Source organism: Homo sapiens, chromosome 2, assembly GCF_000001405.40.
Source record: "Homo sapiens chromosome 2, GRCh38.p14 Primary Assembly".
Taxonomy (NCBI): Eukaryota; Metazoa; Chordata; class Mammalia; order Primates; family Hominidae; genus Homo; species Homo sapiens.
In genome coordinates, this window is record NC_000002.12 from 141,063,252 (window position 1) to 141,078,042 (window position 14,791).

The following is a 14,791-nucleotide window of genomic DNA, read 5'->3' on the forward strand; positions in this document are numbered from 1 at the left end:
GTGAATTAGTTTTTAGTTACTTTTCTCAACATACTTACATTATCTAACAGTATGGGGTATCTTTAAAGCTTAAACACATTATTTAAACTTTAATTTTAATTTAGTTCTCTCTGCTGTAGGAGACATTGACTAATTTTTAAACATTAGTGCATACTATTTGTAATAGTACAAGCTAGATTTTATTATAAGTATATATTTCACCAAATGTTCTTGAAAGATCAGTTTATCATAAGTTAAAAATGATTTTTTCAAGTGATATTTATTTAGGTGAAGATCTTTCTAGTCTAGTGAAGAATAAATAAAGGGCACACCCTGCATTCTCATTGTCATGCTAAACGATCAAATCACTGCTTGGTATGCACGCGTTCCCTCTCCCCCTCCGTCTCTCTCTCTCTTCCTGCTTCCATCCTGCATCTCTGTTTTCCTCACTTATAAATCAATTTGTTCATAGCTATTCTGTTTCTATAAGGACTACCCAGTTTCACTCTTTCTTACTATAGAACAGTCTTCACTATTCTTGCTACATGAAACTTTTTCTCACAATGCCTCTTCTTTTATATTTTTCTTTTCTCACTGGTTCATTTCACAGAGGTGAAGAGGAGTTGGTGTGCAGGTGGTTTGACTTTGGCCATGGAGAAATGAAGGTTCTGGCTATCATGTGATGTGTAGAGACTACGTTTAGATAGCATTATGAAGCAGGCAATTGCAACTGTTTACATGGTACTTAAGGAGAGAGGTGAGTCTGAAGATGAAGCCTTCTCTAAAGTCATCCTCAGATGACTTAATTGAATGAGATCCCCTGACCCCTGACAAAAAAAGAGGCGTCTCAAGACAAGAACCTTGGAGGCATGCTGTTAGAGAAATAAGAGTAAAGGAGGTCAGAAGTTAGCAGTAACACAGATGTTCACAGACATCTAAAACAGAGAATTTTCAGAATAAAAAATCGAGTGGCTGACTGGGTCAATCACTTTACAAAGCAAAAAAAAGAAGGATATAGATTAAGAAAATGTCACTGAATCTGATATTCAGTAAAATACTAGTAATTTTTGCCACTTGTGTTTGGGAAGTTTAGTTATGGAGGAAGAGTATAAACCAGGTGATGATGAAGGTTTCAGAAAATTTAAGTTATTCATTCAAGAAATTTTTCATTCTTTTTGACCTTCTATTACAAGACTGATGCAACTGATTCTCATATTTTTTTCTAAATCATAAAACGGATTGAGATAACTCTCTAAGTTTCTGCTAAGCATGAAAAAAAGCACATGTAAATATATAACTGATCAAAATTGAACCTTCTCAGACTTCAGATTCCTGACTGTGATGAGCTCTGTTCACTTTTGATTGAAATGCAAAAAATCAAAGAGTCCTAAGGAATAATAGCAATATGACCATAAAGTTGCAGCTATTGAGTGCCTATAGTCACATGATGATATAAATGTTTATTTGTGTGCTTGTTTTTAGTGGTGTTTAATTTTACCCTAAAATTTCCTGTTACAGAGAAAAGTTTCATTCCTAGGGCATTCTTTAGTGGAGGCATAGCTGTATTACAATTGGTAAACACAAGCTAACATTTTTAAATATTTAAAATTCAACTATGTCATTTGTAATATAAATGTTGTTGGGTTAAAAATCACTCTCTTCTTTTCTATAACATATTTTTCCAAATCATAAACAAGTAAATGGTGCTCTGCAAACTCCACGATCCTGTGGATCCTTATGATTTCCCTGAGAGACAAAAGTACCAGATAATTTGTATTTTACAGATGAAATAGTTTCAAAGCCCTTATCCTTAGTCTTTGCCGGAGCCATAAATGTCACAGCTTTTTGAAAAACTTGTTATTTGGAATTTCAAACTCACACAAAATTTTTAATTTTTAAGAATAGTAGAATGGATGCCTATACCCGTCACCTAGATTCACCAGTTGTTTACATTTCGTTCCGTTGGCTATTTTATATACTCATTGAGCCACTTCAGAGTAAACTGCTGACATCATCACTCTATTCCTAAACACTTCAGCATCCATCTCTTAAGAAGGTTAGGAAAGACAAGGACATTCTCTTGCATAACCACAGTATATCTCTCATAATCAATTCCTTTAACAATGTGTGCAATGTATAGTCATTCAAAATTTGCCTTTTGACAGATAATGTTCTTTATAGAAAAAATTTCTGATTCAGAATCTAATTGAACATGATACATTGTGTTTAATCGTCTTTTCTTGCTCAACTCCTTTAATCTTGAGCAGTTCTTCAGCTTTCCTTTGTTGTTCATGATGTTAATATTTCCAAAGAGTAGATAAGGGTTGTTTTGAAGAATGTTCCAACTTGAGATCTGTCTGATTTTTGTCATAATGTTATAATTAGATTATGTTATGCCTTTTGAACTGAAATGCAATGATTTTGCACTTTATTGTTACCACCCCTAGGGCTTAGAAACAGTGGGAAAGCCTATGATCTACCCCCAAAATTACACAAAAAGGAATTTCAATGGTGGTTTGGAATCCCATTCATTCCACCATATTTGATGTTTTCTGAACACTTAACTCTCTTAACTTCCAGGGTCCTAGTCTCTTTTTCAGCATCTCCCCGCACCAGGAACCAAGGGCCCCCAGGTTAGCACTCTCCCTGGAAAACTCATGGTAGATTGTGGAGACCAGTCCCAATTCAGCCCTATGCCCCATTCCCTTAGGATTGCAATACTAATACTTTTTAAAAATCTTTCTTTGTTCTCACCTGTGTTATCAACTATTTTTTGTTATGCAGCAAAAAGGGGCATTGCTGTTCTCTTGTTCTACATTTATTTTTAAATGTCATTCTAGTTTCCACTAACAAAAATTAATATTAAAAGACACCCAAATCCAACAACTGTCTCTATTTCTAAGATGTTTAACTATTAGCTCACAAAAGAAAACATTTCTTTCAAATTTTTAATTATTCATCCTGTTCTTTATTTTCATAATGCAGCTTCTCTAGTAAACAGGGTTTTATTGTTTTGACATCATTATCCCGTCAGATATGGGAAACTGTTTTTGTCTGACATCTTTGTGATTATATGAGCAGCCCCGTTTCACTACAGTCATATAAGTTTTATACAGTTGAGGATAGTAAGAAACTTCGAGTATTATTGGTAAACTTGCCTAACATAAATCATAAGTCACAAAGGGAGCGCTCATGGACAGTGACAGAGCACTGTGCTTACAGAGTTATGGCACCAATCATTTCTATACTTTAAAGGAAAGCAATTGTTATACATACTGACATCTTAAAGCATGCATTTTTTTTAGCTGATAAAAATAAGAATTGCTTTTGCCAGTGATATCCATTTTAAATAATGCTTCTGTACTTTAACTCAAAAAAACATAAGGGAATTTAAATACATCAAAGTTCTGTCCATGTCCTTTAACTGCATGGTCAGTCCCCGTCCTTAACTCTTAAATGTTAGTTATAACTTACTGACGGAATTTAGAAATTTTCAAAAGGTTCTGAAAATGAAATGACTTATCATTCATTTTAACTTTTTAGAAAGTTAGGTTACACGACAAGATTTTTTTGAAGTGAAGTTAAAAAAACAAGGTATTTTACGTAACAAGATACAAAATGGGGACTAGCTAAGAGGGGAGTAAGACATAAGAGTAGGGAGCCATATATTGCCAGATTTCAAAAATCATTGCTATGTTTAGGGTCTGGCAAACCCTCCATGTTTATTAATTTATCTTAATGAAGACAACTGCTTTCCTTTTTATTTCAGGAAAATGATACGTATTTTCCTCAGAAAGGTTTGCATTAGGAACTTTATTTTTTTCTTGTTTTTATAGTAACTTAGTGTTATCCAAATAGCATCAATAGTAACATAACCTCATTTTTTATGCCATTGTACCTTGTACAAAACTTGAACAAGAAAGTAATTTTCCACATTATATAGAGTAATTGAGGTATATTTAGAAATAAAGTAGGAATATTAAATATTTAGCATTGTAATTCTAAAATGCAATTACAAATCTGAAAAAGTAATGAGTCTTTGAAATAAAAGGTTTAAATTCAAATTCTATTAGTTTCTGCCACTTAAAGCATGTGGATAATAAACAATTAAGCTATTTTGTCTGTCTGGCCAAGACTATTCAAGACAGTTATTTATTGATCTTTACTTGTTTGGGGATTTCACTTTTGTTGTTTGAAAAATCTCTCTTGTACTTGGTTTTCAGTTTATACATAAACACACAGAAATTAAACTTGACATATGGACTCCCACTGTCGGCTGGCTATTCTATATTCTGGAAACATTCCCACTAGTGATTCCTCCAAAAGTGTACGTGTATTGGATATGTCAGGCAATGTGGCTGACTCGTTGAACGTCCTTATTTACCTAAACCTGCCCCATTTAGTGTTTCTGAGAGAGGCAGCCCTATGCGCAGTAGCATAATACCATTTATCTCCTCTCTCTTCACAGATAATTAGACCAAGAAGGAATATGGGATTCAAGTGAAACCAAATCATAGACTGAGAGGAGTCACTAGGACCCTTTCTCTCAATAATCTCAACTGCAAAGTATGCGGTCCACCTGGTGCACAGCTGCTGTAAAATAGGTAAGGTGATCTGGTAGCATGGGAGGGTGTGAGAGAAGAAATACTGGAGCCTGCATATCAAAGTAAAGGGGCTATGAGAGACAAGATGAAAGAAGACATGTCTCCCTTGAGTGAGGGATTCTCCAGGCCCCAGGAAGTCCATCTTTGCTTCCTGTCCTTAGGTCTGTGAATACAGGAGATTATTTGATTCCTCTCAGAAAAGAAATCTCTATTTATTTGAGCTAACTTTGGTAGGTTTCTATACTTGGAAGCCCAAATGCCATGACTAACCGCCCATATTATTTAACGTTCTATTTTAAGATTCAGAAAAATTGTGTTCTAAAGATTTTGAACAAGCAAACATTGAAGCGGTGTCCTTGTCTAGGGTAAATACCCGGGGTTCATAGTCTCACACCAAGGGAATAGAGGACGCAGACATACAAGTGGGTTTAGGAGTGGAGGTTTACTAGGCAAAGAAAGAGAAAGGAAAATAGTTCTCTCTCCTGTGAGAAAGAGGGGTGCTCGTATGGGACTTCTGGCCCACAACAGAGTGCACAGCATTTTATAGACAGGCTTGAGGAGGCGGTGTCTGATTTACATAGGGCCCAAAGATTGGTCGGACCAGGTGTGATGTTTGCATAGTGCAAGAGAAAGCCGGCCACCTCACCCTAATCTTATTATGCAAATTGGGTCTTTGCCTGGCCAGGGCCATGTTGTCTCCTCCTGACTGCACATGTGGTTGGCAAAAAAAAAAAAAAAAAAAAGGAAAGATGGTGTTGCCATTTTGAACATGCCTAGTGCCAGGTAGTTTTTCCTATTGGCACAGTTGCCAGCATTCACCCATGCAAGTTTACAGTTTGCTTGTCTGTGTCTGCAGCTTGATTTTACAGGCTGCTCATTGTTAGAAAAGAAAATGATTTGGGGCTGCTTTTCATTAAAGGGAAAAAACCTTACCGAGGACTTCCTTACCCTCACTATCTGCCTAAATAATTTCTTTTTCATTCCTATATATCATTCTACTTTAGGGAATATTTCATATTAAAATTTTAACTCTAAATTAAGGACTCATTTTGTAATTTTCACAAGTAAATCTCATAACCCATTTTGGCACTGAATCAAAACGATATTTATGAAGAAATATTATTTTGGCCTAAATTGAAAACATCTTAAATCTTTTCAGTAGTCTCTAGAGAAAATATAAGGAAGAAGAACATTAATAATGAGCAGCAATTTAGAAAAATTATTTTTATCTCTTTTAAATTCAATATATTACTCAAACCACGGATTTTCAAACGTCATTCCCTAATCAAGCCTGCTGAACTCTGGCAAGTACAAATGCAGTCCATCCTTATCCCCACTTCACCCCAGTACTACCTCTCATTCACCTTTTTATTATGAAAGCAAATTCGCTTTTTAGGCCTTTCTTTCAACTTGCCTTTCATTTTCCATAATCTGAGAGCCAGGAGTTAACTCGGCAAGTAAGAAACCTGACACTGTGAAAGTGGAGCACTAAAAATGTGGAGAAATAGAAAGATTTGTACATTTTTATTATTGATTTATTTTTTCTTTTTATCCATGTCACACAGATATTTCATCAATGTCTAATGTAGTTTGAAACATGGTGGGAAAAATGCTTAATCATCTCCTCTCCCTAGATTGTCATTGTCTGAGGTGGAGTCTAGGCCCTATCAGCAAGAGAAAGGCTGGTACAACTTGATTTGTTTATGATCCATCACTACTTCCCCTTCCTTACTCCACGTCCCTATTCTCTAAGAAAAGAACCACTTGGTTTATGCCCACTTGCTCATTTCTGTCACCCGTGGCTACACTTTACTGCAGCTGCCAAATCTAACTGCCTAAAAGGTAACGACACACTGACCTAACATTTTGACTGTGAGGCATCCCTCATTCTTAGGCTGTAATTGAAACTCTATAAACCCACCTCTGTCTTAGATAATATCAGAACTAAATCTTGCAACTTTCTCACCCTTCTTTTATTATTATTATACTTTAAGTTTTAGGGTACATGTGCACAATGTGCAGGTTAGTTACATATGTATACATGTGCCATGCTGGTGTGCTGTACCCATTAACTTGTCATTTAGCATTAGGTATATCTCCTAAAGCTATACCTCCCCCCTCCCCCCACCCCACAACAGTCCCCAGAGTGTGATGTTCCCCTTCCTGTGTCCATGTGTTCGCATTGTTCAATTCCCACCTATGAGTGAGAATATGCGGTGTTTGGTTTTTTGTTCTTGCGATAGTTTACTGAGAATGATGATTTCCAATTTCATCCATGTCCCCACAAAGGACATGAACTCATCATTTTTTATGGCTGCATAGTATTCCATGGTGTATATGTGCCACATTTTCTTAATCCAGAAACTCACTCAAAACCGCTCAACTACATGGAAACTGAACAACCTGCTCCTGAATGACTACTGGGTACATAACGAAATGAAGGCAGAAATAAAGATATTCTTTGAAACCAACGAGAACAAAGACACAACATACCAGAATCTCTGGGACACATTCAAAGCAGTGTGTAGAGGGAAATTTATAGCACTAAATGCCCACAAGAGAAAGCAGGAAAGATCCAAAATTGACACCCTAACATCACTATTAAAAGAACTAGAAAAGCAAGAGCAAACACATTCAAAAGCTAGCAGAAGGCAAGAAATAACTAAAATCAGAACAGAACTGAAGGAAATAGAGACACAAACAACCCTTCAAAAAATTAATGAATCCAGGAGCTGGTTTTTTGAAAGGATCAACAAAATTGATAGACCACTAGCAAGATCAATAAAGAAGAAAAGAGAGAAGAATCAAATAGACGCAATAAAAAATGATAAAGGGGATATCACCACCGATCCCACAGAACTACAAACTACCATCAGAGAATACTACAAACACCTCTACGCAAATAAACTAGAAAATCTAGAAGAAATGGATAAATTCCTCAACACATACACCCTCCCAAGACTAAACCAGGAAAAAGTTGAATCTCTGAATAGACCAATAACAGGCTCTGAAATTGTGGCAATAATCAATAGCTTACCAACCAAAAAGAGTCCAGGACCAGATGGATTCACAGCCGAATTCTACCAGAGGTACAAGGAGAAACTGGTACCATTCCTTCTGAAACTATTCCAATCCATAGAAAAAGAGGGAATCCTCCCTAACTCATTTTATGAGGCCAGCATCGTCCTGATACCAAAGCCGGGCAGAGACACAACCAAAAAAGAGAATTTTAGACCAATATCCTTGATGAACATTGATGCAAAAATCCTCAATAAAATACTGGCACACCAAATCCAGCAGCACATCAAAAAGCTTATCCACCATGATCAAGTGGGCTTCATCCCTGGGATGCAAGGCTGGTTCAATATACGCAAATCAATAAATGTAATCCAGCATATAAACAGAACCAAAGACAAAAACCACATGATTATCTCAATAGATGCAGAAAAGGCCTTTGACAAAATTCAACAACGCTTCATGCTAAAAACTCTCAATAAATTAGGTATTGATGGGACGTATCTCAAAATAATAAGAGCTATCTATGACAAACCCACAGCCAATATCATACTGAATGGGCAAAAACTGGAAGCATTCCCTTTGAAAACAGGCACAAGACAGGGATGCCCTCTCTCACCACTCCTATTCAACAGTGTTGGAAGTTCTGGCCAGGGCAATTAGGCAGGAGAAGGAAATAAAGGGTATTCAATTAGGGAAAGAGGAAGTCAAATTGTCCCTGTTTGCAGATGACATGACTGTGTATCTAGAAAACCCCATTGTTTCAGCCCAAAATCTCCTTAAGCTGACAAGAAACTTCAGCAAAGTCTCAGGATACAAAATCAATGTACAAAAAGCACAAGCATTCTTATACACCAATAACAGACAAACAGAGAGCCAAATCATGAGTGAGCTCCCATTCACAATTGCTTCAAAGAGAATAAAATACCTAGGAATCTAACCTACAAGGGACGCGAAGGACCTCTTCAAGGAGAACTACAAACCACTGCTCGATGAAATAAAAGAGTATACAAACAAATGGAAGAACATTCCATGCTCATGGGTAGGAAGAATCAATATTGTGAAAATGGCCATACTGCCCAAGGTAATTTATAGATTCAATGCCATTCCCATCAAGCTACCAATGACTTTCTTCACAGAATTGGAAAAACTACTTTAAAGTTCATATGGCATCTCACCCTTCTTTACACAAGTCTCTGCTTAAAGCATAAGACAGGCTAACATTTTGTCCACTGATACAAACCAACCTCCCCTCTTCCTACCCCAACCCTTCTGATCTGCATTCTGAAACCTTCACTCCATGATCAAGCTCCATAATATCATAAGATTATACTTTGAATGTTCCAGAATATTATGCTCAAATGGTAAAATCCACTGCTTTGAGAGGGTCTCACAAACTGGTTGTATCACTGACAGCACCCATCCTTGAAGAATCATCTACAATCTTCTGATTCTTGTATGTCATTATTTTTATTTCGGTACCCAGGTTTCTGTCTTTTTGACCACTCTAAATCAAGGAAGTCAGTATCCCATAGATATTGAAATGTCTACAGGATAATTAATCCAAAACTTTATTCTTTGTTTCCTTGGCCTCCTCTGTGCCTATGACCTTTTATTTCCAGTACACTGCCACCACCACAGATTCCCATGATGATAAATAGTATGCTCTTTGTCTTCACCAGAAATTACCTGTCTTCCCAACCACACACAGAATCTCACTCTTCCACTTGACTGTCTGTTTACTATCAGTCTCAGGTACTCCCTCTGCAACACTTTTGGACTTCATTGAGACTCTGTCCCCATTGACTCTCTCAACTTTCTCACCAGCCTTCAACTTTTCTTTCTCATTCCTTCTCCATTGTCCTAACCCTTTGATTCACTTCACCTCACATCTCTCAACTCCAGAAGGATAGTCTTGCCTCTTTCTGTCTGCAGAAATTAGAGCATACAGAAAGGCAAATCCTTTGTTTTCTTATAGCCCCAGCTAAAATATCTATTTCTAGATCAATTATTTTTTCCTCTCCTCTTGTAAGACAGAAGCAAGCATCCTCTCTTTTTGTTTAGTCCAATGCAGGGGAGAAATATACACTCAGTCCGTCTTTTTCTCTAAGACCTGACTTCAGCAACTATTTCCCTTTCTTCTGCATCTTCAACTTCTCCTTTTCTACTAAATGTCATATTCAGCACACGAATTTGCTTTACTATTTATCATTCTAAAACCAATAAAAATTTTCTCTTAACCTTAAACCACCTTCCATTTATAGTCCTTTTTCTCCATGCTGCATTTACATCCAAACTTTGCTACAGAATTTTTCATACACTTTATTCTTCCCCTTACGCACACTTCCTGACACAATGATACATCATCCAAATTTACCATTCAAATTTTTTTTCTTACAGAAGTTACCAAGTATTTTCATATGGTTAAAACAATGGACTTTTCCCAGTCTCCTTTTATGACCTCTCTGTGGCATCAGGCCAAATTCATCACTTTCTCCTTTTTGGCATTTTTTTTCTCTTAGCACTCTCTTGGTTTTCTTCCTACCTGGCTTGTTTTTCCTCAGTTACTTTCTCCACCTCTTCTCTCTACATCAGGTCCAGAATTCTACTAATGGAGTACTTCAGGTTCAGTCTTGTAATCTTAGAACTCTCTCATAGACAATCTTGAATGTTCCCATGACTTTCATTAATGTTACAATAACTCACTAATATTCTAGCCTGTCATCCAAACTTCTAACTCATAAACACAGTTGTTTTGTTGATACTTTTGCTGAGATTCTTTTGGATATCTCATATATAACATACCTAGTATTAAATTCCTGCTCTTTCTTTCCAAATCTGTTCTTTCACTTTTCTCCACTTTGGCAAAAAGCGCTTCCTTCTATCCAATGGTTTATTCCAGAAACGAAGGCATTCATCCTTCATACCTTCTACTGTATCCTCTATGTCCAACTTATCACCACATCCTGCCAGTTACATCTTCAATGTATATCTTGAATCTGTATATTTATCTCTTTCTCTGCTCCTCTTTCCTAAACCAAGTAACAGTCATCTGTTACTTGGCAATTTACACTGTATCTCAGTTTCTTAAGCCATTTTTCTTATCGTAGCCAAAGACAGCACATTAACATGAAAAGTAGATTATGTGTTATAAACCTTCCTATAGCTGCTGAGAGAAATAGGAATCAAATCTTACATTCCTAACATTACCAACAATGGCGAACATGAGCTGGTTTCTGCCTCTCTCTCCAGTTTCACCTAGCAGTATCTTTCCTCACTCCTAACACCTTGGACATCCAGTGATGCTCTTCTCTATTTCTAGTACCTTGGCTGTCTTTCTGTTCCTTAAAAAAATCCAAGTATTTTCTCCCTTTCTGCACTTCATATACACTTTCCCTTAGCCTTGAAGTTAATGTCTGCTATGCTTTTCCAACCTTGGCTTTAGTTTTCAACTTAGATGTCAGTTCCTGTGAAAGATCTTTTCTGTTTTTCCAATATCAATTAGATCTACCTGACATAATTTCATGGCATTCTGTACTTCTATAACACTGTTTCTTATTTTACTTGCATAAAATAGATACAAACACATATAAAGTTGTTTAAAATCTATGAAGCAGACTACAACCTCCAAGAGGCCATATTTGCTTGACTCAGTGTTATATGCTTAGAACTTAGCCATATGTCTGCACATACTAAGTTCTTTCTCTTTCTGTCTCTCTGTCTCTCTCTCTCTCTCTCTCTATATATATATATATATGTTTTTTATATATATATAAAACACATATATTACATATATAATTTTTTTCATCTGGCCTTTGACAGGCTCTTTATAAATTTCCTCATATGGGAATCATAAGATATAAGACTCAGACTTGAAGTTAGGTTAAAGGGTAAAAAATAAAGATAAGGCCATTCTGGCATAGAAAAATACATTTTCCAGATTATACAGCATAGCTCACTGGAATTATATTTCAGGCCTAAATTACTAATCATAAATTATTACTTTGTTCAGTTCGTTTTCATTGTCCTTTTTGCATACAGTTCCCTTGGAGAACTTGTAAGGAGTAGTGATTAGTTCAGGGTTAGATTTGAGTATTCCTGTATCTAGCCAATTTTCATCTTTAATGACATTTCTTCAATATTCACTTGATTTTACCTATGATATCAGACTATAACAGAACTCGGATGTATTCCGAAAAGGGTTAGATTGGCTCTCAAATCTAGCACAAGTTTTGCTCCTTTGTTTACTTTATGTAAGCAACCTGAATTTTAAGAATATAATACTGTCCCCTGGGAGGAGGATGGATTAAAAGTGTTGGGTGACGGATAGGGAGATACCAGTTTGGTAGTTATGCACTAATGTAGAAAGTAGAAATGGAAAAGAGAAGAGAGATTCAAAAAATAATTTGGAGTCTGAGTCAGTAGGACTTCCTAATTAAAACTGAATAGAGATAAAGAGTTCAATTGAGTAAAAACAGCATTCCAATATAATATTAATTTTCACATACTATATTTTAACTTAGTGTTCTTTCATATTTTTCCCAATAAGTCTACCTGTTTTATAAGATCTCAAGGTGTCATTCCATTTAATACAAAGAATGGAGTTTATGTTTTGGCATATTTTCATGACCAAGGGCAGTGCTATTTTAGCATTCCTTCAGGAATCAGTTTTCAGGATACCAGTACTGAAAAGCTCATGCTCAATATACGTGATTCATGTGGAACAGTAAAGTATTTGATGTAATATATTAGAATTCAAAAGTTGCTCTTTGAGATATACAGAGGTGGGTAACCTGATTCTGCACTTAAGGAAGTCCTATTGGCTTGTAAGGGCATTGTTCTGAGCTGAAATAACACAGATGGCTGTCTCAAAAGTGACTAAGGTAAGTATCCACGAAGTTGTGGACTGCTGAACAAACCTGGTTCACTGCTATGCTAATTACCAGTTAGCTGAACTGTCCATTTCTATTTCAAATTCCTACTAAATGGAGGAAAACAGTGTTGAAAAATGAAACTTTAACTACAGCACAGCTTTCTTTTACAGTATTCATTGTTTATACTTGTGTACACATCTCATTTTGATGTTGGAACACATTGTGCAATAATATTGCAGTGATGATAAAATCATAGGATTATACAGATTAAATCCATTGTAGAAAGATCAAGATTTCTTTGTTCAGTGCTCACTGTCCTTGCTGTGAGGGGCAGATGTACTTAGAAAAAAGTAAGGCAAAAGTTCTGTAAAGCAATACTTTCTTTATGATGGTTTTATCTAAATTTGTTGGTTTAGTTTTAGGCAGGAATGCAGTATCAACCTCAAGTTAAGTGTTTAAGACTAAAAAGGCCAAATGAAGCTGGTGAAGGGAAACAACTGTCCTCACTCCACTGGCAAAACATGCATTTTGATAATTGCAGATGCTTCTAGGCCAGGGTTTCTTGACCAGGATGAGCTTCAGGGGTTCCATCAACAACCAGTTGTGTAGGGCTGTGTTGGCAGGTATGCCAGCAATTATATATTCCTACACGGGCATTTTTCTGGCAAGAGGATTAATACTTGAAAAGGTAAATGTCCATGCTCTAAAATAGTGATTCTTAAACTTTATTGTGTATAATAATCACCAGGGGAGCTTGCTGACATCTCCAATTCCTATAATCACTGTGGTGGGAAATTTGGCAGTATCTAACAATATAAAATATTCATTTACTATTTGATCCAGCAATTCTTGTTTCTAAAATTCAACCTGAGGATGCATCTTAACAAATAAGAAACAGCACATACACTAAGTTATTTACTGTAACCTTATGAATAATAGCAAAATATTAGAAACATTTTTTAACCAGCCCTCTCTTCCCTGGCTGTTTATTAATTTCTTTCCAGAAAACTAGACCCTAGGTTCTGAGACTACAACAGGGAATTCTAAAGCACCTGGCCTCCACCTCTAGAGAAAATACAAAACAAGATCATTGAGGATAAAGATGCTTTTGAATTTATGAATACTCAGGGATGACTGAGATGAGTAGCTCTGCATATTGTTAATTGATTGATAGGTGGATGCAATGTCTGGTAACAAGCTCTTGTTAGTCTCATAATCAAAGAATTTAAAATAGTAGGCTAGGCTGGGTGTGGTGGCTCAAGCCTGTAATCCCAGCACTTTGGGAGGCCGAGGTGGGCAGATCACGAGGCCAGGAGTTCGAGACCAGCCTGGCCAATATGGTGAAACCCCGGCTTTACTAAAAATATTTTAAAAATTAGCCAGGCGTGGCAGCGTGTGCCTCTAGTCGCAGCTACTCGGGAGGCTGAGGCAGAAGAATCACTAGAACCCAGGAAGTGGAGGTTGCAGTGAGCTGAGATTGTGCCACTGCACTCCAGCCTGGGCCACTGAGTGAGACTCCAACTAAAAAACAAACAAAAACAAAAACAAACAAACAAACAAAAAGTAGGCTATGCAATACTGGTATTTTGTCCCAATTTTTGCAATTTATTACATATAGGCCAATTAGTTTTTCAAAGAAAACAGATTGTTTCGATCACACTTGGATTAGAATTCTTCCTGTAAAGGTCTTAGATTATTGTTTGCTGCTCAGTCTTCATGTCTTTATTTTTTCTAATATCAGGTTCTATGATATTCAGTTTATGTGTTAATTTGGCAAGGTGTGGTCCACAGTTACTCAAACACTAATCTAGGTGCTGTTTTGAGGGTACTTCGTGTCTATAGTCGGCTGCCTTTAAGTAAAGATGATTATCTTCAATACTTTGGTGGACCTGATTTAATCAATTAAAAGAATTTAAGAGCAGAACTGTGATTTCCCCCGAGGAAGAAGTTCCACCTGTGGATTACCGCATCAGCTCTTGCCTGAGAGTTCCAGCCTTCCCTTCCGGATTGCCTGCCCTACAGATTTCAATCTAACTAGCCAGACTCACAAGTGCCTAAGGCAATTTCTTAAAAGAAATCTCTCTATATTTATATATCTTACTGGCTCTGTTTCCCTGATAGAATTTTGACTAATACAGTATCCAAAATTCTTTTGGAGACCACTTCTCTGCCAGTTTCTGTCTACTTGATTTGGGTAAAACTCCAATCTGAGTCTATCTCAGAACTTGAGAGCTTCAGGTAGGAATTTTTTTTTTTTTTTTAACTATTGGACCCAAATGAAATTTGAGCCATTAAATTTCCTTTTTTTTAAAGCTTATT

General features: G+C 36.5%; 1 protein-coding gene across 3 annotated transcripts in view; it reads right to left on the reverse strand.

Moving 5' to 3' along the window:
* The window catches only part of LRP1B (LDL receptor related protein 1B), a 1,899,594-nt gene that overhangs the window by 831,829 nt on the left and 1,052,974 nt on the right, over positions 1-14,791 (reverse strand). The window lies entirely within an intron of this gene.